The sequence below is a fragment of the Homo sapiens genome, chromosome 2 (assembly GCF_000001405.40).
Source record: "Homo sapiens chromosome 2, GRCh38.p14 Primary Assembly".
In the NCBI taxonomy this organism is placed as follows: domain Eukaryota; kingdom Metazoa; phylum Chordata; class Mammalia; order Primates; family Hominidae; genus Homo; species Homo sapiens.
This window is the reverse complement of record NC_000002.12, coordinates 169,526,635-169,547,853: the sequence shown is the minus strand read 5'-3', so window position 1 is coordinate 169,547,853 and position 21,219 is coordinate 169,526,635. Positions and strand designations below refer to the sequence as shown.

The window sequence follows — 21,219 nt, the reverse complement described above, 5'->3', positions numbered from 1 at the left end:
GAGTGCAGTGGCACGATCTTGGCTCACTGCAACCTCCACCTCCCTGGTTCAAGAGATTCCCCTGCCTCAACCTCCTGAGTAGCTGGGATTACAGGTGCACATCACCATGCCTGGCTAAGCTAATTTTTTTGTGTTTTTAGTAGAGACAGCGTTTCACCATGTTGGCCAGACTGGTCTCGAACCCCTGTCCTTGGCCTCCCAAAGTGCTGGGATTACAGACATGAGCCACCGTGCCTGGCCTATCTAACTCTTCTTAAATTAACTTGTATTATGCCCACCTGTGATGTTATATATATTGGCTTTTGTCCTAGTTACTAGTTCATAACTTCTATAGCTCTTGCTATAGCCTTTTGTTAACAATGTTGGGTATGTTAGGCCTCTGGAAAGAGAATCTCTCTCCTGCCCCAAAGCAGGACTCTAATCTCCCTCCACCTTTCTGATCGTGGGTCTTAAGACGCTCCCCTGAGAGATCCCACCCTACACCCTGTGTGAGGAAATGTTGATGTCACGAAGCTCATAAAAACCCAAGAAGACTGGGTTTGGACTGCTTCCGGATAGCCGAACACGTGGAGGTTCCTGGAGGGTGGCATGGTCAGGGAGGGCATGGAAGCTCTGCACCCCTTCCCGCATACCTCACCCTACTGTCCCTTCATCTGCATTCTTTATAATATCATTTATAATAAACCTGTAAACATAAACAACTGCTTCCCTGAGTTCTGTGAATCACTCCAGCAAATTAATCAAACCCAAAGAGGAGGTCATGGGAAACCCAACTTGAAGCCGGTTGCTCAGAAGTTCTGGAGGCCTACTTTTGCAAGTGGAGTCTGGGGTTTTTGTGGGAGAGGTTAGTCTTAGAGACCAAGTTCCCAACCTGTGGGATCTGACACTGTCCCCAGGTAGATTGTGTCAGAACTGAATTGGACACCCAGTTGGTATCCGCTGCTTGGAAGAACTCCCACACATTTGGTCACAGAAGTCTTCTGTGGTTGATGATTGTTGTGGTTTGAGATTAGAGGAGAAACATAGTTTGAAAGAGGTTTTTTTGAATCATCATCTTACCTATTAATTGTACTCATATGTATTCATATTTTAATACATATATATTTTGGGTTTGTTGCTGATGTATTCTTTTCATTTTTCATTTTGCAGTTATTTGAAAAATAGTTTCATACCAACTGAGGTGTCTGTTCTGGTCCGTGCTATTTCCCTGCTCCCTTCTCCTCACTTGGACGAAGTGGGGATATCCCGAATTGAAGCCGTTTTACCACAGTGTGACCTAAATAACCTGAGTAGTTTTGCCACATCTGTTTTAAGATGGATTCAGCATGATCACATGTATTTGGATAATATGACTGCGAAACAACTGAAACTACTTCAAAAATTAGATCACTATGGTCGTCAGAGACTACAACACAGCAACAGTTTGGATCTGTTACGGAAGGAACTTAAATCTCTCAAAGGAAACACGTTTCCTGAGTCACTTCTTGAAGAAATGATTGCTACTTTACAGCATTTCATGGATGATATTAATTACATAAATGTTGGGGAGATTGCATCTTTTATTTCTAGTACTGATTACCTCAGTACTTTGCTACTAGATAGGATAGCCTCAGTGGCTGTTCAGCAGATTGAAAAGGTGAAATTTAAATGGTAGACATTAATTTTATAGAGTTGTCAACTTCTGCAAGCATAATTTTTATCATAGGCACTTTGAGAACTTGGATTGGAATTTGAGGTTTAAAAATTAAATAAATTCTGGGTCAGATGTGGTAGCTCAAGCCTGTAATTCCAGCGGTTGGGAGGCTGAGGTGGGAGGATTGGTTGAGCCCAGGAATTAAGGCTCAGTGAGCTATGATTGCACCACTGCACTCCAGCCTGTGTGACAGAGTGAGACCCTGTCTCTTAAGAAAAACAAAGAAAACTCTGGTTTCTATTTCAGCGATTTGTTGTTCCTCTCCTTAAAGTCACTTTCTCATTCCGGCATTGTAGATTTGGAAAGATCAGCAATCATTCTTTGGTTCATTACAGTATTAAGATTAGTAATCAATTCTTTGAGGATACTCATGTTAGGACAGTGGAGTATGAATGATTTTTGGTTTTACTTTTTCTTATTTCTGTAATCGTGTGGTATTATTTTTACCATTTAAAAACAATTATATTCAAAAGTGTGAGATAAGCTTGAAAACTGAGAAAATTATAAGGTATCCATTGGCAACTATATTCTTAAACTGTCATTGCATCTTCTTGCAGATTTATTTCTGGGACTTGTAAAATGCCGCTTTATGGATTATGTGAGAAGCAGCTCACTTACAAAATCACTATCATAAATATATCAGGGCAAGGCCTTTATTTAAAAGACAGTGTTTCTCACAAATGAAAATAAAAAGTTTGTCTTAACTTGCTTAGTATAGTGCCTGGAAGTCATTAAGTATTGGATGAATGAGTGAAAAATGAAATAAAAAAGCAAATGAAAGAAAAATAAATGCTAGTGATTATAATTTAAGAAACTTCTTTAATTATGATTATTCTATAAAATGTACTGATTATCATGGAAATTGCTGATACTGTTTCCTATTCAATTTAGTGACTAATGAATTCTGAAACAGAATTTATTTACTTATTTTAAATTTAAATAAAGACAGGGTCTCACTATGTTGCCCTGACTAATCTCGAACTCCTGGCCTCAAGCAATCCTCCCACCTCAGCCATCCAAAGTGTTGGGATGACAGGCATGAGCCACCACTCCCAGCCAGAACAGAATTTTACACCTAACAAAATAAATTTGTAAATTATCTGATTTACTTCTTTTTTGTTACATTAACACTTTTGGGGTTATTAATAATGTTGGTGGGGTTAAATAAATTATAGCAGGATGGAAAAATTAATAAGCAGGGTGATACATTTATTATTTAACTGTAGCGATGATAGGAAAAGATTTCTCCTAAAAAATAATTAGGTTAAAATTTTGTCTTATTTTCCTAAAGTTTAAACTATAAATTTTTTGTTCTTTTTATACAGATCCATCCTTTTACAATCCCTGCTATTATTCGTCCATTCAGCGTATTGAACTATGATCCACCTCAAAGGGATGAATTTTTGGGAACTTGCGTGCAACATCTTAATTCTTACTTAGGTAGGTATATTGTTTGGTAATACATTGAGTGAATAAGTCAGAGGATACTTGTTGCTGCTGAGCTAGGAGATGTCCCTCATTTAAAGGGTAACCATAATAGACATGAATTATCTACCTAAAAAAAGGTTTTTTGTTTGTTTGTTTGTTTTTGAGACAGAGTCTTGCTCTGTCGCCCAGGCTGGAGTGTAGTGGTGCGATCTTGGCTCATTGCAACCTCTGTCTCCTGGGTTCAAGTGATTCTCCTGCCTCAGTCACCCCAGTAGCTTGGACTATAAGCATGTGCCACCACACCCGGCTAATTTTTTGCATTTTTAGTACAGACAGGGTTTCACCATGTTGGCCAGGGTGGTCAGGAACTCCTGACCTCAGGTGATCCACCCGCCAAGGCTTCCCAAAGTGTTGGGATTACAGGTGTGAGCCACTGCGCCCGGCCCTATAAAAACTTTGTATCCATTTTAATTATGAAAAATGTCAAACTTGTATAAAGAATTAAACAAAGAACACATATATACTCACCGTGTAGATTCAATAATGTTAACATTTTACAGTGTTTGCCTTATCCGTTTGTTTCTCTGACTCTCTTATTTTTTTCTGAGCCATTTCAAAGTTGTAGTCATTGTGACCCTCCATCCCTAATTACTTTAGCATACATCTCCTAAGAATAATGACATTCTTCTGTACCACCACAATACTGTTGCCACACCTAAGAAACTTAATCATAGTCCCCTAATATCTAATACACAGTTCATGTTTCAGTCTCCCTAAGTGTTACCAAAATACATTTTAGAGTAGTTGTTTTGCACCCAGTATTCACTCATTGTGTTTGGTTGTTATCTCTTCAGTCTCTTATAGTTTAGAATTTTGTTTCCTTTTTTTCTTTTCTTGGCATTGACTTGGTTTTTTTTTTTCTTAACTTTTTGTTATCCAGGTTTTCAAATATACAGAAAAATTGAACAATACAACAAACATCTGTATAATAATAAACTGTATAATAATGAACTGTAGCCCCACAGTCGTGATTGAGTATTGATTAACATTTGCCACATTTGCTCTGTGTATGTGCACAAGCGCGTATGCGTATGATGAACCTTCCAGTTGTCAGCTCTGTGTACTTCAGGTTATAAGGACGTTCTCCTATGTAACTACAATACTGGTATCATTACCAGTACCAAAGAAAATGAACAAGTACCATCTACTACCTAGTCCGTAATCAAATTTTCCCGAGTCACCAAATTATCTTTTATAACTTTTTTTTTTGAGACAGAGTTTTGCTCTTGTTGCCCAGGCTGGAGTGTAATGGCACAATCTCGGCTCACTGCAACCTCCGCCTCCCAGGTTCAAGCGATTCTCCTGCCTCAGTCTCCCGAGTAGCTGGGATTACAGGCATGCGCCACTACGCCCAGCTAATTTTGTATTTTTAGTAGAGACGGGGTTTCTCCATGTTGGTCAGGCTGGTCTCGAACTCCCGACTTTAGGTGATCCACCCACCTCAGCCTCCCAAAGTGCTGGGATTACAGATGTGAGCCACCGTGCCTGGCTATAACTTTTTTTTAAACAACCAGCATTGAGTAGTTATGTCTTTTCCTCCATCTTTTTTGCTTGATATTTATTTTTATAAAATGATTGGCCATTTCTTATAAATTGTGCCACATTCTGGATTTGTCTGATTGTTTTCCTGTAACTTGCTTCTCCATCTCCTGCATTTGTAGTAAACTAGAAATTAGGTATAGATGCTTGGTTAGGTTCAGATTAAACATTTGCAGCAAAAATAACTTGTATGTAGTGCTGTATACCTTATATTTAGATCACATCTGGAGGCACATAATGTCTGATTGTTTCTGTCTATTTAGATTTTGGTTTTCTTTTTGAGACGGAGTCTTGCCAGATTGTTTTTTAAAAGTAAAAAAATGTTTCTTAAGAACCTTAATAGATGTTTGTAAATTGTTTGAAGGGTTGCTGCTCTTATGCTGATTATTTTGCATCTCTTAAAAAGGTCTTTAAAAAAATTATCTTTTAAATTTAGAGATGGGGTCTTGCTACGTTGCCCAGGCTGATATCAAATGCCTGGGCTCAAGCGGTCCTCCCACCTTAGCCTCCCAAGTGCTGGAATTACAGGCGTGTGCCACCACACCTGGCCAGAAAAGTCTTTTGGTAATATTTCAGTACTAGAAAAAAGTAGAATAGAAATAGTCCTTCCTGCTGTTAGCCTTAGCAGAAGCAATATGTGAGGACAGCAGAGACAGGAAATTACTTTTTCTTTTTCCTTTTCCTTTTCCTTTTTATTTTGGGTCCTGAGTTGTGTTTGGAACAGTTTGACCTTGAAGGATTAGAGCTTTATGAGACTTTTCTTCTCAGACTCACACTATGTACTTGTCAGTATGATATAGAAGCTTTAGAGGAGAAATGCTCAGTAACCGTTCCTTTTCAGTCAACACTTTCCATGTACTTACTGTCAGGTATTCTTCTAGGCGCTGGAGATACAGGAGAGAGTAAAAACAGATAAACTACCATGATCGAGTTTACTTTCTGTTAGGGGGAGATTGACATAAACAATAAACAAGGCTCTAAGGTCAGATGGTGATAAGTACCTTCAAGAACATTAGAGCAGGGTAAGTGTGTAGGCTGGAGCATCATGGTAAGTGTGAGATGGAGTGCTATTTTGGATAAGGGATTCAGGGACTGCCTCTCTGAGGAGATGTCATTTAACCATGGATTAAATGAATTGAGAGAGTGATGCATGTCAAGAGTTAGGGAAGAGAGTCCCAGGATGAAAGAAAGGGAACTGGAAAGGGCCCTCGGGTGAGAGCATGTTTGGTTTTTTTCCAGGAACAGTGGATTCAGTGTGGCAGGAGTAGATGAGGGAGACCGAGTTGGTAGGAGATAAAGTTGGAGAGACAGCCAGAGACTGGTTTCCTCAGATCTTTTTGCTCTGCCTGGAGAGTAAGAATTACCCAGTTATCTACCAAGCAACAGATACTGAGAGCTTCCATATCCAGCATAACATGTTAGGCTCTACATTAGGGATTTATATAGATCTTTAGACCTCTGGTGAAGCTGGTATGAAGCAAGTATAAATATATTAATTGTGTCTGCATCATGCTAATGGACTTTGCTACATTTTTGTGGGATCTATGGGCCAGACAGCATCTAACCATGTCTGATACTACTGTGTCACAGCCTACAACGTGAGGCTGGGATATATGTATGTATATATGTATATGAATGTGTTGCATGTATGGTATACATTTATACCCCTTTTTAGTAACACAACTATATGTAGAAAGATGAGACTTTAAATTGAGACTTAGACTGTATTCTCCTGGTTGTTCAGTCATGTGTTGACAACCAGAAGGAAATGAAAGTGCATCTCTTCCCAGGTTCTCCAAATAGAGTCTTAGAAATTAGAAAATTTTGTTGCTAAAGAGTATAAGGAAAGAAAGATTGAGAAGTACAGCTTTGAGTTTTTAAAACTTAATCAGAGAAAGTTTTAAAAATTCCTAGGGAACTTTATAAGTAAAATTTTAAATAACTAATGGAGTAATAATTTTCATTGTTTTGAGTAAAGACGAATTTTGACAGATTAGTTTTGCTGGTAGAAATCATCACTATTAACTTCATTTATGATCTGGTCTTTCTTTATTAAATAAACTTAGAAAAAATTGAAAAGGAAAGATTTAATGTTGTCTCTTCTGTCCTTAGTAAGAATACCTATGCCAGTCAGGCATTTTAGGTGACCCTTTCCGCCACATTAGAAATGTCTCTTGGATGAGGCAAATCAGGTAAATAGTTGAAGCCTTATACTGTGGGGCATCTGCCATGCTGCTGGGTGACAAGTAAAGGAGCAGGTGCTAGGCAAGACCTCAGCCTCAAACATGTGTACACTCTGCTTGGAGATCTGAGATTCCCAGAGAGCAGCATAGTATAATAATCCAGGCTCCAGAGCTGGACATTCTGGGTTAAACCCTACTCTCCGCTGCCAACTCTGATCTTGGGCAAGTCATTTAACCTCTCTGCTTCCTAATGCTTATTTATAAAGTGGAGATAATTGTTTCTACTGATATAAGATATAAGTGAGTTAATATATCTAAAGTGTTTAGAATGGTATGTAACATATTCTGAACACTATTGTATTATTATCATCAACACTGGGATCACTTCTTTTTACATGCACCACTGTCCTTTTGTTTTGGATTCTTTTTCCAAGGCTATTTTTAAAACTTCTTACTAAAGTGTAATAACAAATGTTCGTATAACTTTAGTATAATACTGTGAATTTATTCAAATTGAATCACCTAGGGAATCAGTACTGAGATCAAGACACAGCGTATTATCACAGTACCCTTCTCCTCTTGTCCCCTTTTCCTACTTGGCTCACACCCAAAGGTAACCACTTAACCATTATCCTGTCTTGTAACAGTGTAGATTAGTTTTGTCAAGGCTGTGTATCTTTTTTTTAAAAACCTGGGTTTGCCTGAATAAATTATAAGTGTATATATAAGTGAGGCAGCTATACCTTTAAAAAAATCTTAATTTTCTTTTAGGTATATTGGATCCTTTTATATTAGTGTTTCTTGGTTTCTCTTTGGCCACACTTGAATATTTTCCAGAAGATCTGCTAAAGGCAATTTTTAACATCAAATTCTTAGCTAGATTGGATTCTCAACTTGAAAGTATGTATCTATCTTTTAATTTATTTAATTATCTGTTGTACTTTATATCCAAGTCTCAGGTCTATCTATACTGAAGAATTTTAATGTTAATAACTTTTTTCTGTTTCTAATAGTATTCATGCTTATTGTAGAAATTTGGAAAACACAGGAATAAAATAGAAAATAAAAAATTACCCATCTTACTAACAAGTAAAACTACCACTTTTAATGTTTTGGAGTATTTCTTTTTTGTCTTTCTCCTTCTCCTATGTGAATGATTATATATCTGTGTTTTTTTGTTTTGTTTTGAGACAGGGTCTCACTCTGTTGCCCAGGCTGGAGTGCAGTGGTGCAGTCATAGCTCACTGAAGCCTTGGACTCCAGGATCAAGTGATCCTCCCACCTCAGCCTTCCAAGTAGCTGGGACCACAGGCGTGTGTCACCATGCCCAGCTAATTTTTTTTTTTTAAGAGCTGGGATCTCACTGTATTGCCCAGGCTGGTCTCAAACTCTTGAGCTCAAGTGATTCTCCCTCCTTGGCCTCCCAGATGCTGCGATTATAGGTGTGAGCCCCCACACCCAGCCTGTATTTAATTTTAATTTGTTAAATTTTTTATTTTTATATTTTGAGACAGAGTTTTGCTATGTTGCCCAGGCTGGTCTCTAACTCCTGGCCTCAAGTGATCCTCTTGCCTTGGCCTCCCAAAGTGTTGGGATTACAGGCATGAGCCACTGTACCCAGTCCCTATAAGACTTATTTTATTTTACATTTCTTTCTTTTTCTTTTTCTTTTTTTTTTTGAGATGGAGTCTTGCTCTGTTTCCCAGGCTGGAGTGCAGTGGCTCAATCTTAGCTCACTGCAACCTCCACCTTCCCATTTCAAGTGATTGATCCTCCTGCTTCAGCCTCTCGAGTAGCGGGGATTATAAGTATGTGCCACCATGCCCGGCTAATTTTTCTGTTTTCAGTAGAGACGAGGTTTCACCATGTTGGCCAGGTTGGTGTTGAACTCCTGACCTCAAGTGATCTGCCCACCTTGGCCTCACAAAGTGGTAGGATTACAGGCATGAGCCCCCACACCTGGCCCCTATATGAATTTTAAAACAAAATTTGGATTATTTATATATTCACTTTTATATGCTGCCTTTTTCCATCTAACTATATTTTGAGCAATTTTCCATATTATTAAATATTTTTTGATGTCTTTTTTTATTGGCTACATAATATCCTGTTACATGGATATAATAAAATTTGTCACAGATTGTTTCCAATTCCTCATCATTGTAAGTAATGATTTGTTATACATGAATCATTGTTTCCTTAGGATAAAATCCTAAGTGTGGAATATTAGGTGAATGAAAAATCTTGGGAGTATTTTTTTTTTTTTTTTTTTTTTGAGACGGAGTTTTGCTCTTGTTGCCCAGGCTGGAGTGCAATGGCATGATCTTGGTTACCCAAAACCCCACCTTCTGGATTCAAGCGATTCTCCTGCCTTGGCCTCCTGAGTAGCTGGGATTACAGGCATGCACCACCATGCCTGGCTAATTTTGTACCTTTAGTATAGACGGGGTTTCTCCATGTTGGTCAGGCTGGTCTTGAACTCCCGACCTCAGGTGATCCGCCCACCTCAGCCTCCCAAAGTGTTGGGATTACAGGCATGAGCCACCGTGCCCTGCTGGGAGTATTTTTTAAATGTACTTTTAACGTTCATGATTAATGAGAACAGTGCAGGAGTTGGTCCTAATCATGTCACTGAATGTAATAATTTAAAAATATAAAGCATACATTTGTAAATTAGAAATGTAAACAGTTCTAAATACTGTTAGAATAAAAGCATCTACTAATAGTGGGGATAAATGAATGTGAAAAAAATGGGTTGTCTTTCCTAGGTCTCAGCTATCAAAATTCATTAGTATTTTATTAATTTCAGTTTTATCTCCATCTCGAAGTGCAAGAGTCCAGTTTCATCTTATGGAGTTAAATAGATCAGTCTGCTTGGAATGCCCTGAGTTTCAGATTCCATGGTTTCATGACCGCTTCTGTCAACAATATAATAAAGGTTTGAGTTTTCTTTTAGTCAGATAGCAAAGTTTGATTCTAAAGTAAATTATTAGGTAGTACATTGTTAATCTTGTTATACTTAAACATGACACGAGCCTTCCCAAGAGTGCCATGACCTGTTTAATATTTTATATGAGATATTGTAGGTGAAACATTATAAGAATTTCTTCATATTTGGGACATAACCCTCCTAGTTGAGAGCAAAGAACTTGTATTGAATTTAGTGTCATTATATAAGACACTACATTGAAGCTCTTATTGAAATTATTAATCTTTATTTTTCAGTTTGTAGAACTGGGATGATTTTCATTAAAAAACTGATTAAGTCCGGGCGCGGTGGCTCACACCTGTAATCCCAGCACTTTGGGAGGCTGAAAGGCGGGCAGATCACCTGAGGTCAGGAGTTCGAGACCAGCCTGACCAACATGGAGAAACCCCATCTCTAACAAAAATACAAAATTAGCTGGGCGTGGTGGCACATGCCTGTAATCCCAGCTACTTGGGAGGCTGAGGCAGGAGAATTGCTTGAACTGGGGAGGCAGAGGTTGCAGTGAGCTGAGATCGCGCCGTTGCATTCCAGCCTGGGCAACAAGAGCGAAAACTCCGTCTCAAAGGAAAAAAAAAAAGAAAAAAAAGATTAAGTAGACTAATTATTTATTTTTTTATAAAGGTATTGGTGGCATGGATGGAACACAACAGCAGATTTTTAAAATGTTAGCAGAGGTACTAGGAGGAATCAATTGTGTAAAAGCCTCGGTTCTTACGCCTTATTACCACAAAGTAGGTAAGTTATTGGGTAGGTTATTAGTTACTTTCAGAAAATCAAACTAATTTGAATAGAATCATCTTATCAGTTGGAATTTTTTAAAGTTTTTTGAATTTTTTTCAAGTTGTTATTATTATTAAAATTTTCAAACGGAGATAGAAAGAGCAATAGAATAAATCCTCAAGTTCCCGTGGCCCAGTGTTGATAACCAAGAGCGTTTTCTATTCTTTAGAAAAAAAAAAAAAAAAATTAAGGTCAGTCCTCCACCAATTCTAAGTAAAACCCAGATTCAGATTCACTGAACATTTCTGGATCTTCAAAAGATTCTGTCCTCTCCATTCAGTGTGTGAAAATAAGGGAAATGACTCTTTAATTTCTATTTCATTGTTTTAAGTTCATCTGAAAAACTAAGTTGGTCTATCAGCCTGGATAAAGATTTCCAAAGATACTGTGCTTGATGCTAACCTGATTAATCTTGTTTCTCAACTGGTCTAGTTGTAGAATGCATTCTGATTGAATTGTGGATCACATAAAGCTGGTGGACTAGCTTACGTTGATGGCAATATAAAATTTTCAAAGATATTGCCACATTCAAGTGGTGATCTTAAATGAAAAAGATAAAATTTCAAGATAATTAACATAAACTTTCTAAATTTAGGTTTAGAAAACCTCTGCATATACAGGATATTTAAAAGGATTATAAACTTGGTATAAACTAACAGTGTAAATGGTAGCCAAAAATCAAATACTATTTAAACTATATTGTTAATAATAACAAAAAAGTTGGTAATCCCATTGTATTCTATTTTTTAGACACCTTAATATATATATATATATTTTTTGCATGTTGTCCTTTTTAAGAGACAGTGACAATTAGGGTCTAGAAACAAAGGAGGACAGATAGTGAAGGATCTTGTCTAATCATGTCGTAGACAGAACTAGAGAGGACTAGGATTGCATGGATTTCAATCCTTGAGCAAGTTCTTCTGAACCTTGTTAACTTCTTCATCAGTGAAATGGGGATAATAATGCCTACTTGATAGGATTAACTGAGATATTGCATGTAAAGCATTTAACACTATCCTTGGAACATAGTAAGTGCTCAATGAATTTATTTTTATTTTAATTTTTTTATAGAGACAGGGTCTCACTATGTTGCTGGTCTCAAACTCCTGGGCTCAAGCGATCCTCCTGCCTCAGCTTAGCCTCCCAAAGTGTTGGGATTACAGGTGTGAGCCACTGTGCCCAGCCCAATAAATCTTACTTGAAAAAAAAAAAAAGGATGTTTAGTCTGAAAAATAGAAGTCTTATGGGGACCATAATGTTTTAAAATGTTTGAAGGATTGTTAAGTAGAAGAACTAGATATCTCTATCTCAAAGATGAACAAAATGGTAAAAATGAAAGGAAGCAGACTTTAACTTGGTATAATGAGAATTATTGACTGCTTTCTGAAGAAGTAATGTTGAGGCAGAGGCTGAGTATTCAGATGATAGATGTGTGTGATTTTTGCACTGGGCAGGAAGGTGAACTAGATAATCATTAATGCTCTCATCTTGTGCTATAAAACACAACTTTCCTTTGATTTTATGTTAATCAGGATTGAGTTGGGTATGAGTGACAAAAATCCATAAATTGGCTGGGCACAGTGGCTCATGCTCATACACATAGTCTCAGCACTTTGGGAGGCTGAGGTGGAAGGATAGCTTGAGCTCAGGAGTTTGAGACCAGCCTGGGCAATGTAGTTAGACCCTGTCTCTAAATAAATAAATAAACAAATAATAAATAAATAAATAAATAAATAAATAGCAGGCATGGTGGTATGCCCCTCTAGTCCCATTGCTCAGGAGTTTGAGACCAGCCTGGGCAATATAGTAAGACCCTGTCTCTAAATAAATAAATAATTATCAGGCATGGTGGCATGCCCCTGTAGTCCCATTAGGAGGCTGAGGTGGGAGAATCTCTTGAACCCAGGAGTTGAGTCTACAGTGAGTTACAGTCACGCTACTGCACTCTAGCCTCAGTGACAGAGCAAGACTCTGTCTCTAAAACAAAACAAAACAAAACAAAACAAAAAACAAACATTGAAGCTGGGCATGGTAGTGCAAGCCTGTAATCCTAGCTACTTTGAGAGACAGAGGTAGGAGGATCACTTGAGCCCAGAAGTTTGATACCAGCCTGGGCAATATAGTGAGAAGCCATCTCTTTTTAATATTTTTCTTTTTTTCTTCAGAACAATATGAATATAACCCCATCTCTTAAAAAAAAATTACATGAGACATGCTTAACATAGAAAAACTAGAAAAGGAAGATAACAAAAAAGAAAAATTACCCATGATATAGCCGCTGTTTGCTTTTGGTGTCTGTTTTCCTAACTTAAAAAAAAAAAAGACAAAAAGGTTTTCTTCTGTAGTGTTTGTGTTTTAGTCCTTTTCTGCTGCTACAACAAAATACCTGAGACTGGTTAATTTATAAACAACAGAAATTTGGCCGGGCGCAGTGGCACACGCCTGTAATCCCAGCACTTTGGGAGACAGAGGCGGGCGGATTACCTGAGGTTGGGAGTTCGAGATCAGCCTGGCTAACATGGTGAAACCCCATCTCTACTAAATATACAAAATTAGCTGGGCGTGGTGGCGCACGCCTGTAATCCCAGCTACTCCTGAGGCTGAGGCAGGAGAATCGCTTGAACCCGGGAGACGGAGGTTGCAGTGAGCCGGGATCGTGCCACTGCACTCCAACCTGAGCGACAGTGAGACTCTGTATCAAAAAAAAAAAAAAAAGAAAAAAAAAAAACAACAGAAATTTATTTTTCACAGTTCTGGAGGCTAGGAAGTCCAAGCTCGAGATACCAACAGGTTTGGTATCTACTAAGGACCTAGCCTCTGCTTCCAAGATGGTACTTTGAATGCTGTGTCCTCCCATGGCAGAAGGGACAGGAAGGCAACAGAGGATGCTCTTTTATAGGGTCACTAATCTTATTAATGAGGGCTCTGCCCTCATGACTTAATCGTCTCCTAAAGGTTCTGCCTCTTTTTTTTTTTTTTTTTTTTTTTTTTTTTTGAGAAAGGGTCTTGTTCTGTCACCCAGGTTGGAGTGCAGTGCAGGAGTGCAGTGGCATGATCACGGTTCATTGCAACCTCTGCCTCCAGAGCTCAAGTGATTCTCCCACCTCAGCCTCCTGAGTAGCTGGGTCTACAGGCACACACCACCACACCAGGCTAATTTTTGTGTTTTTTGTAGAGATGGGGTTTCACCATGTTGCACAGGCTGGTCTTAAACTCCTGAGCTCAAGCAGTCCTCCTGCCTCTGCCTCCTAAAGTGCTAGGATAACAGGTGTGAGCTACCACGCCTGGCCTAAGGTCCCACTATTATTATTAACACATTGATGATTATGTTTCAACAGATGAATTTTGGGGGACACATTTAGATCATAGCAGTTTATAACTTTATATGTTGTGAATATTTTTCTATGCCAACAGATATGCTTATACAACATCTTTTTTAGTTACTGCATATTTCATTGAGTATGCTATGATTTAATCAATCTGTAAGATTTTTTTGCTGGTATGTCCATCTGTCAAACAATGCTGCAATTTCATATAACAACAATAATAGGTTTATTTTTATATATTGCTTATTATGTGTTAGACACCATTTTAAGTACTTCGTAAGTACTTGTGTGTGTGTATGCATATAGTAAACTTATATCCCTATGAAGTATGTAAATTATTTGCAGATGAGGAGACTAAAGTCCACAAACATTATTGATTGCCCAAGGTTATATACCTGGCAAATGACAGAGCCAGGATTTGAGCTTGGCATTCTGGCTCTAGAATTCATTCTCTTAATGAATTCTATATATTTCATCTTTCATAATTAATTTAAAGATGGTTCAGTGCCTGAGTTTTTCACCAGAGTTCCATCTGATTCTTTTCAAATCACAGACATCATTTCAGGAAGTATATTTAAAAGATAAGAATGACTTAAAAAACATAACAACAATATCATCTTTATCATCCTATAACCATTAATAATAATTTCTTAATATCTTTTAAGAAATGTTCAGCAATATGGGAAATTTAACGTAAGTAGACAGATGGGAAATTTTAGATAAAATTTAACATTTTATTGAAATGTTAGATTTGGCATACTATAATGAACTCAATGATCAAGGATTGAAGGTAGTAGAATTATGGGAAATGTCACATAAGTAGAGAGATATGGGAAATTTTAGATAAAATTGAACATTTATGGGAATTATGGGAAATGTAACATAAGTAGGGAGATATGGGAAATTTTAGATAAAATTTAACATTTTATCGAAATGTTAGATTTGGCCTACTATAATGAACTCAATGGTGAAGGATTGAAGGCAGTGGAACCTATTCCTCATACGTCTCATGCACTGCACCCCTATACCTTTGCTTTTCCTGTTTTAAGTGTCTTTTATGTTTATTTTATAGTTTGTCCAAATTGGGATCTTAACATTCCACTTGGTTGGTTTGCAGTTTTTGGTTCAACTTTTCCTTTCCTACTTCTTTTTTTAACTTAAAATTTGAGAATAAGTTTTTTTTTTCCACATTTCGAACTTTTCTAATTGCAGCCCTGTGATAACATTTAAAATGTCATCTGATAGTTTTTAATGTTTTTACTGTAAACCTGGGTTTGCTGTAAACCATTAGTGATATCTAGAGATTTGATTAGATTTTAGGTTTTTTTTTTAGGTTTTTCTTTTTGGCCAAAAACTTCATAAGTGGCTTGTACTTCTTTCTGCATCCTCTCAGGAGGCACACAAGGCTGGTTGTCTTTTTCTTTTTCTTTCTTTCCTTTTTTTTTTTTTTGTCTGGCTCTGCTGCCTAGGCTGAGGTGCAGTGGCACAAGCATGGCTTACTGCAGCCTTGACCTCCTAGGTTCAAGGGATCCGCCCACCTCAGCCTCCTCAGCCGGAGTAGCTACCACTACACCTGGCTTATTTTTTAAGTTTTTTGTAGAGATTGGGTTTTGCCATGTTGCCCAGGCTGGTCTGGAACTCCTGAGCTCAAGCAATCTGCCTGCCTCGGCCTCCCAAAATGCTGGGATTACAGGTGTGAGCCACTGTGCCTGGCCTGGTTGTCTTTTATACATTAAGACTCATCAGTGGGTTCGTATGTTGTCAGCTGATTCATTCAACAGAAAGTTCCCCTGTCAGCTTTTCACCTGCTGATTTTAGCAGTTATTAATGATCACTCATTGCCTAAATCCATCATTCAGAGGGGTGGTAAAGTAGCGATATTCTACATCTATCATGCCTTCTACATTTATTAGCTGGAATTTGTCTAAAAAGGACTTTCCCATATCAACTGTTTAGTTACTCTTATGTACAATTCATGTAGAAAAGACAGGATAAATGCTTGTATCTTTTTCTTTATTAATTTTCAGATGAGTTGGTTTAGCTTTCTCCAAATGTAATCAAGAGCCTTAAAGAGATTGAAACTCTTTAATGTGATTTGGCCTAGCCCAGCGCTAAATGTAGCCTAGTACTTAATATTGTTTTGTAATTCTTCTGGTTGATTTTTTTATTGATTGATTTCCAAAGAGAGGTGCCATTGGACCAGATCTTATAAAAATAACTTGGATAATCTGAGAGGTTCGTCATTCTTTTGTGAGTGTGTGTGTGTACAAATATTATATGCATATATATTTCAAATATATCTTAAACTTTTATCTGTAAGACTTTACCTAATTCATACTACCAGTTTCTATGCTTCCTTAAGATTTTGAGTGTATCTTGGATAAAAGAAAAAAACCTCTTCCGTATGGAAGCCATAATATAGCATTGGGACAACTACCAGAAATGCCCTGGGAATCAAATATCGAAATAGTTGGATCAAGGCTGCCACCAGGGGCTGAAAGGTAATTTATTTCTTAGTTTTAGATTGTATTAATATCTAAATGTTAAATTTGGTGTACTATACTGAAGTCAGTGATCAAGGATTGAAGGTAGTGGAATCTGTTCCTCATATGTCATGCATTCCACCTTTGTAACTTTGCTTTTCCTCTCCTTTCTGCTTTAATGTTCTCCCTTCTTCTGTCCAAAGCCTAGCAATCTCCCTAACTAAAGTGCTAAAAGAATTGTCCTCCACTGGAAGTAAAATAGTATCTTCTTTTGCGCTCCCATACCTCTCTACTTTTCTCATAGCACTTAGCCACTTCCTACACTGCATTACAGTAACTTACTATACATCATGTGTTCTCTGTTAGACTATAAGCTGTGTTGCTTCATATTTGTACCCCTCACAGTGGTTTACATGTAGTAGGCATGTGTAAATATATATTGGACCAAAAAAATGGATGAAAGCAGACAAATATTTACAATAATTTTGTGTAACTAAATAGGTTTGTCATCAATTACTAATTTCTTAGTAGAAACATAACTTGATATACTCATTTATATTCATTGGCTTTTGTTAGTTTATAAAGATGCAATCTTGTTTCTGAAAAGCTTGTAATTATTCAGTTTCTTATTCTGATTTTAGGAGTAAATATTTTTTTATTTTATGTAGGATTGCTTTGGAATTTTTGGATTCAAAAGCACTTTGTAGAAATATCCCTCACATGAAAGGAAAATCTGCTATGAAAAAACGACATTTGGAAATTCTGGGGTATCGTGTAATTCAGGTATGAAATACTCATGTAATTCAGCCTCTAAAAAGCCCAGAGACACTAGCTGTACATGTGCTTCCTTTTAATGTGAAAGTTCCAGAATTACCTTTTTAAATATATTTTTTAAAATGTATCACTCAAACAGGCCAGATACAATAGCTCATGCCTGTAGCTACTTGGGTGGCTGAGGTGGGAGGATTGCTTGATCCTAGGAGATTGAGGCTGCAGTGAGCCGTGATCATCCCACTGCACTCCAGCCTGGGTGACAGAGCAAGACCCTGTCTCATAAAAATAAATAAATAAAAGTTGTCATTTATTTTATTGTCTTTAGAATATCCATATCTTATGATTTCTATATCTTACAAAGGAGAGAGGCACTGTAGAGATGGATAGAGTTATCAGAGGAAACAACTAGGTATGAATATAGAAGACTATGTAGGAAAAAATGTCCATCATTGGTATTGTAGGAAAAGGAGGATGAAAGGAGCAGAAAAAAGTATTCTAGGCAATGTCAGAAGGACCCACTTGGCTTCCAGTAGAGGTTCACAGGCTATCCTTATGTAAACTAATTTCATAGGATTCCTACAGCTTTGATCAGTAGTGCTTATATGTCTTCCTCAATGTTTTTTGTTGTTGCTTTAAAACTTTCATTCAAACAACATTACTTATTTTCAGATTTCCCAGTTTGAATGGAACTCTATGGCACTGTCAACAAAGGATGCTCGGATGGACTACCTGAGAGAATGTATATTTGGAGAAGTCAAGTCATGTTTGTAGTTTTTATTTAAAATGAATGTTATCGTGTGTTACATTTGGACCTATTTTAATAAAGTGGCCTGTCTCAATTAAAAAATAGGTACAAATGTCCTAAGGTGGGAACATGCCTGGCATGTTTGAGAATAACAAAGGATCCAGTGTGGCTGGAGCAGAACAAGTGGGGAGTGGGGTGGGAGTGTATAAGAGAAAAGATAAGAGATAACAGAGTCAAATACAACCTCTTGGCTACTCTGAGCGAGATGAGAAGCCATTGGGGGCTTTTCAAGTAAGGAATGATATGAATTCACATTTTAACTGCGTTACTTTGGCTACCTTGTTGAGATAAGAAAAGACTACGATGAGGCAAATGTGTAAGAAAGAAAACTCTTTACGAGGTCATTGCAATAATCCAGACAACAATGGATGGTGGCTTGGAGAGAGTGGTAGCAGTGGAGGTAATAAGAAGTAGTCAGATTTTTTGGATGTATGTTGAAGATAAAGGCAACAGAATTTGCTCACTGATTGGATATGAGGTATGAGACAAATAGGAGTCAAGGATAATTCTAAGTTTTTGTCCTAAGCAACTAAGAGGATGTCATTAGCATTAACTAAGATGGGGATAGTCTATAGGAAGAGCAAGATGGGGGGCAGGTGGTGGGGGTTGATCACAAGTTTGTTTTAGATATGTTGAGTTTGTGATGTCTTTTAAACATCTAAGTGGATATATCAAATAGAGAATTCAGTAAATGAGCTTGGAGGTCAGGGAAGAGGTCCAGGCCCCAGATATAAATGTATAAATGTCAGCAGTATTCAATGCCATGAGAGTAGATGAAATCGCTTAAAATGAGATTAGAGAAGAGTGTGAATGGAGGAGAGGTCTGAGGACTGAGTTTTCAAGTGCCCCAACATTAAAAGATTAAGAGGAAGAGGAGGAATCAGGAAAGGAGACTGAGCAGGGATGGCCAATGAGGTAGGAGGAAGGAAGGTAAGTAATACTTCCTAGAAGCCAAGTGGATAAAGCATTTCAAGGGGGAGGTGAGTAGTTGTATCAGATGCTGCTGATAGGTCAGGAAAGATGACAAATGGGAAATGGCTATTAAATTTAGCAACATGAAAATCATTAGTACTTTGAAAATAGTCGTTTTGAAGTGGTGCATGTGAAAGCCTGACTGGTTCAAGAGAAAATGGGAGGAGATACATTTTCTCCTAAATGGAAGCAAAGAAATGGGGTAGTAGCTGAGTGGACCATCTTGACCTGGTGTAATCCTACACATTGAGGGAATAATGGCTTCTCCCTGTCTTACAACACATTTATTCAATAAAATGGTTACTAAGGGCCTACTGTGTGATATAATCCCCAACCCTTCCTCTAAGAGTGATGGTTTTGTGCTCAGCAGGCCACAGCCTAACTACTCTCAGTTACGCCACCTGGTGGTGGTGGAGGTAATTGACCATCTGAACCGTGGCTATCTTCTGACTCCATGACCTTCTCAATTCATACTATCTCAAAATAAGTTGGTAGCTGGAGTGCCTTCAATCATAAGCATAGCTTTAAAATTTGTGTCTTGCATGTAAATTGCTTCACTGATGTTTGGCTTAGGCTTAGTTGAAGTACATGTTTAAAATATCCAATGACTTTGCATGATTTGAACTCCAATACTTAATGATTTTGTGGAATATTAACTTCACAAAACGTTTTGTGAAAAACAAAATCAGAATAGTAAGTGAAAGATTTCTCATTGTCTCTTCCTCTTTCTGAATTTCCTCATAGTCATATTAGTGGAAATGCTAAATTCAGTGTTTAATTTCCATGAAATGTGTTCCATTTCTCAAGCAAGTGATAACAAGAACTAGACCATTGAATAGGTTAAAATATTTTACTATGCAACTTTAGAATAAAATGATTAGGCTGATGAGGGTTATAAAGGGTTTCCTTTGGATATAAATCATTAAAAATTTAGTCATTATATACTTGTGGTACATGGAAATCTTGATTGAATAACCCTGGTATACTTTCACTAGTTGTTACACATGATCTAACTTTTTACCTGTCACATCTCCTACTCTCTCTAGGCCAGCAGTCCCTAACCTTTTTGCGGAAGACAGTTCTTCCATGGACAGCAGTTGGGGGATGGTATGATTTCAGGATGAAACTGTTCCCCCTCAGATCATCAGGCATTAGTTAGAGTCTCATAAGGAGCATGCAACTTAGTTCCCTCGCATGTACAGTTCACAATAGGGTTTGTCCCCCTATGAGAATCTAAGGTAGCTGCTGATCTGACAGGAGGTGGAGCTCAAGTGGTAATGCTCACTTGCCTGCCCACTGTTCACCTCTTGCTATGTGGCCCAGGTGGGGACCCTTGCTCTAGGCTATCTGATTCAAATGGTTTTCTTTATATAGATACTCTTATTTTTTGATTGATGATTTTTCTATCTAAATAACTTAGATTGTTATAAACAAAAGCATTTTTTATTGAGATATAAATCCCATACTATAAAATTCACCCTTTAAAAGTGTATAATTCAGTGGTTTTTAGTATATTTGTGCAACCATCACCCATATCTGATTCCAGAACATCATCATCCTCAAACCCTGGAAGAAGCATTATTTTTACAACTTAATTTTACATCTATGTAGATTGGCATTCTCTCCCTAAAATTAACCTCAATCCTGATTTTATAGTAAGTACTTCTTACAGTTTTATCACCCAGATGTACATTTCCGGACACCATTATCCCTGTGGCCCCCTCTTCCTCTACACTTTTGAGTCTGTCTTTATAAGTGCCCCTTCCTCTTCCTAACAGTTTATTTGTTGAAGAACCTGTAGGATTTTCCACTTTGGGAATTTCATGATTCTGTATTCATGCTATAATTTAAGAAAAGTATTTTTCAATATAGAAAAGTAATCAGGATTCTACTTTAAATACCCAAAATAAAACTTGTTTCTGTTAAATATATTTCTGTATTTATGGTAGAGAAAAAAAGGTGTATGGACACTTAGATCTGTTCTTTATGCAACTCCTTGACAAATAATCATGAATGTTCCAAATTAGTCCCAAGTCAGGTTTTTCAGAAAATAATATGGGTAAGGATAGAAGTCAAATATATGTCTATGAAAGCTATGTGAGACTCATAAGTTGGTGTGTGGCTAAAAGTGATGATTAATTGATGACTTGCACAGAGTTGAATGTGATGGTTATGAGCAGATTG

General features: G+C 37.5%; 1 protein-coding gene across 13 annotated transcripts in view, besides 1 other annotated feature; it reads left to right on the top strand.

Annotated features, from left to right (window-relative positions):
- FASTKD1 (FAST kinase domains 1) overlaps positions 1-19,346 on the top strand; it is a 45,358-nt gene extending 26,012 nt beyond the window's left edge. For 7 of the 13 annotated variants that reach the window (NM_001322048.2, XM_006712750.5, NM_024622.6 and 4 more), the window contains 8 exons: positions 1,150-1,636; positions 3,019-3,133; positions 7,675-7,803; positions 9,713-9,841; positions 10,514-10,627; positions 16,364-16,502; positions 17,153-17,267; positions 17,928-19,346. In NM_001322048.2, coding sequence (NP_001308977.1) covers positions 1,150-1,636; positions 3,019-3,133; positions 7,675-7,803; positions 9,713-9,841; positions 10,514-10,627; positions 16,364-16,502; positions 17,153-17,267; positions 17,928-18,029 — 1,330 coding nt within the window. In that variant the 3' untranslated portion in view covers positions 18,030-19,346. The remainder of the gene's footprint in view (positions 1-1,149; positions 1,637-3,018; positions 3,134-7,674; positions 7,804-9,712; positions 9,842-10,513; positions 10,628-16,363; positions 16,503-17,152; positions 17,268-17,927) is intronic. The other 6 variants (NM_001322049.2, NM_001281476.3, XM_047445832.1 and 3 more) reach the window with 2 other exon arrangements.
- Positions 10,266-10,414: a silencer, noted in NCBI's record as "fragment chr2:170393950-170394098 (GRCh37/hg19 assembly coordinates)". NCBI's record gives its function as "represses an EF-1alpha promoter that drives an FKBP-Casp9 reporter gene in an ReSE screen in K562 erythroleukemia cells {active_cell/tissue: K562}" and the evidence as "EXISTENCE:reporter gene assay evidence [ECO:0000049][PMID:32094911]".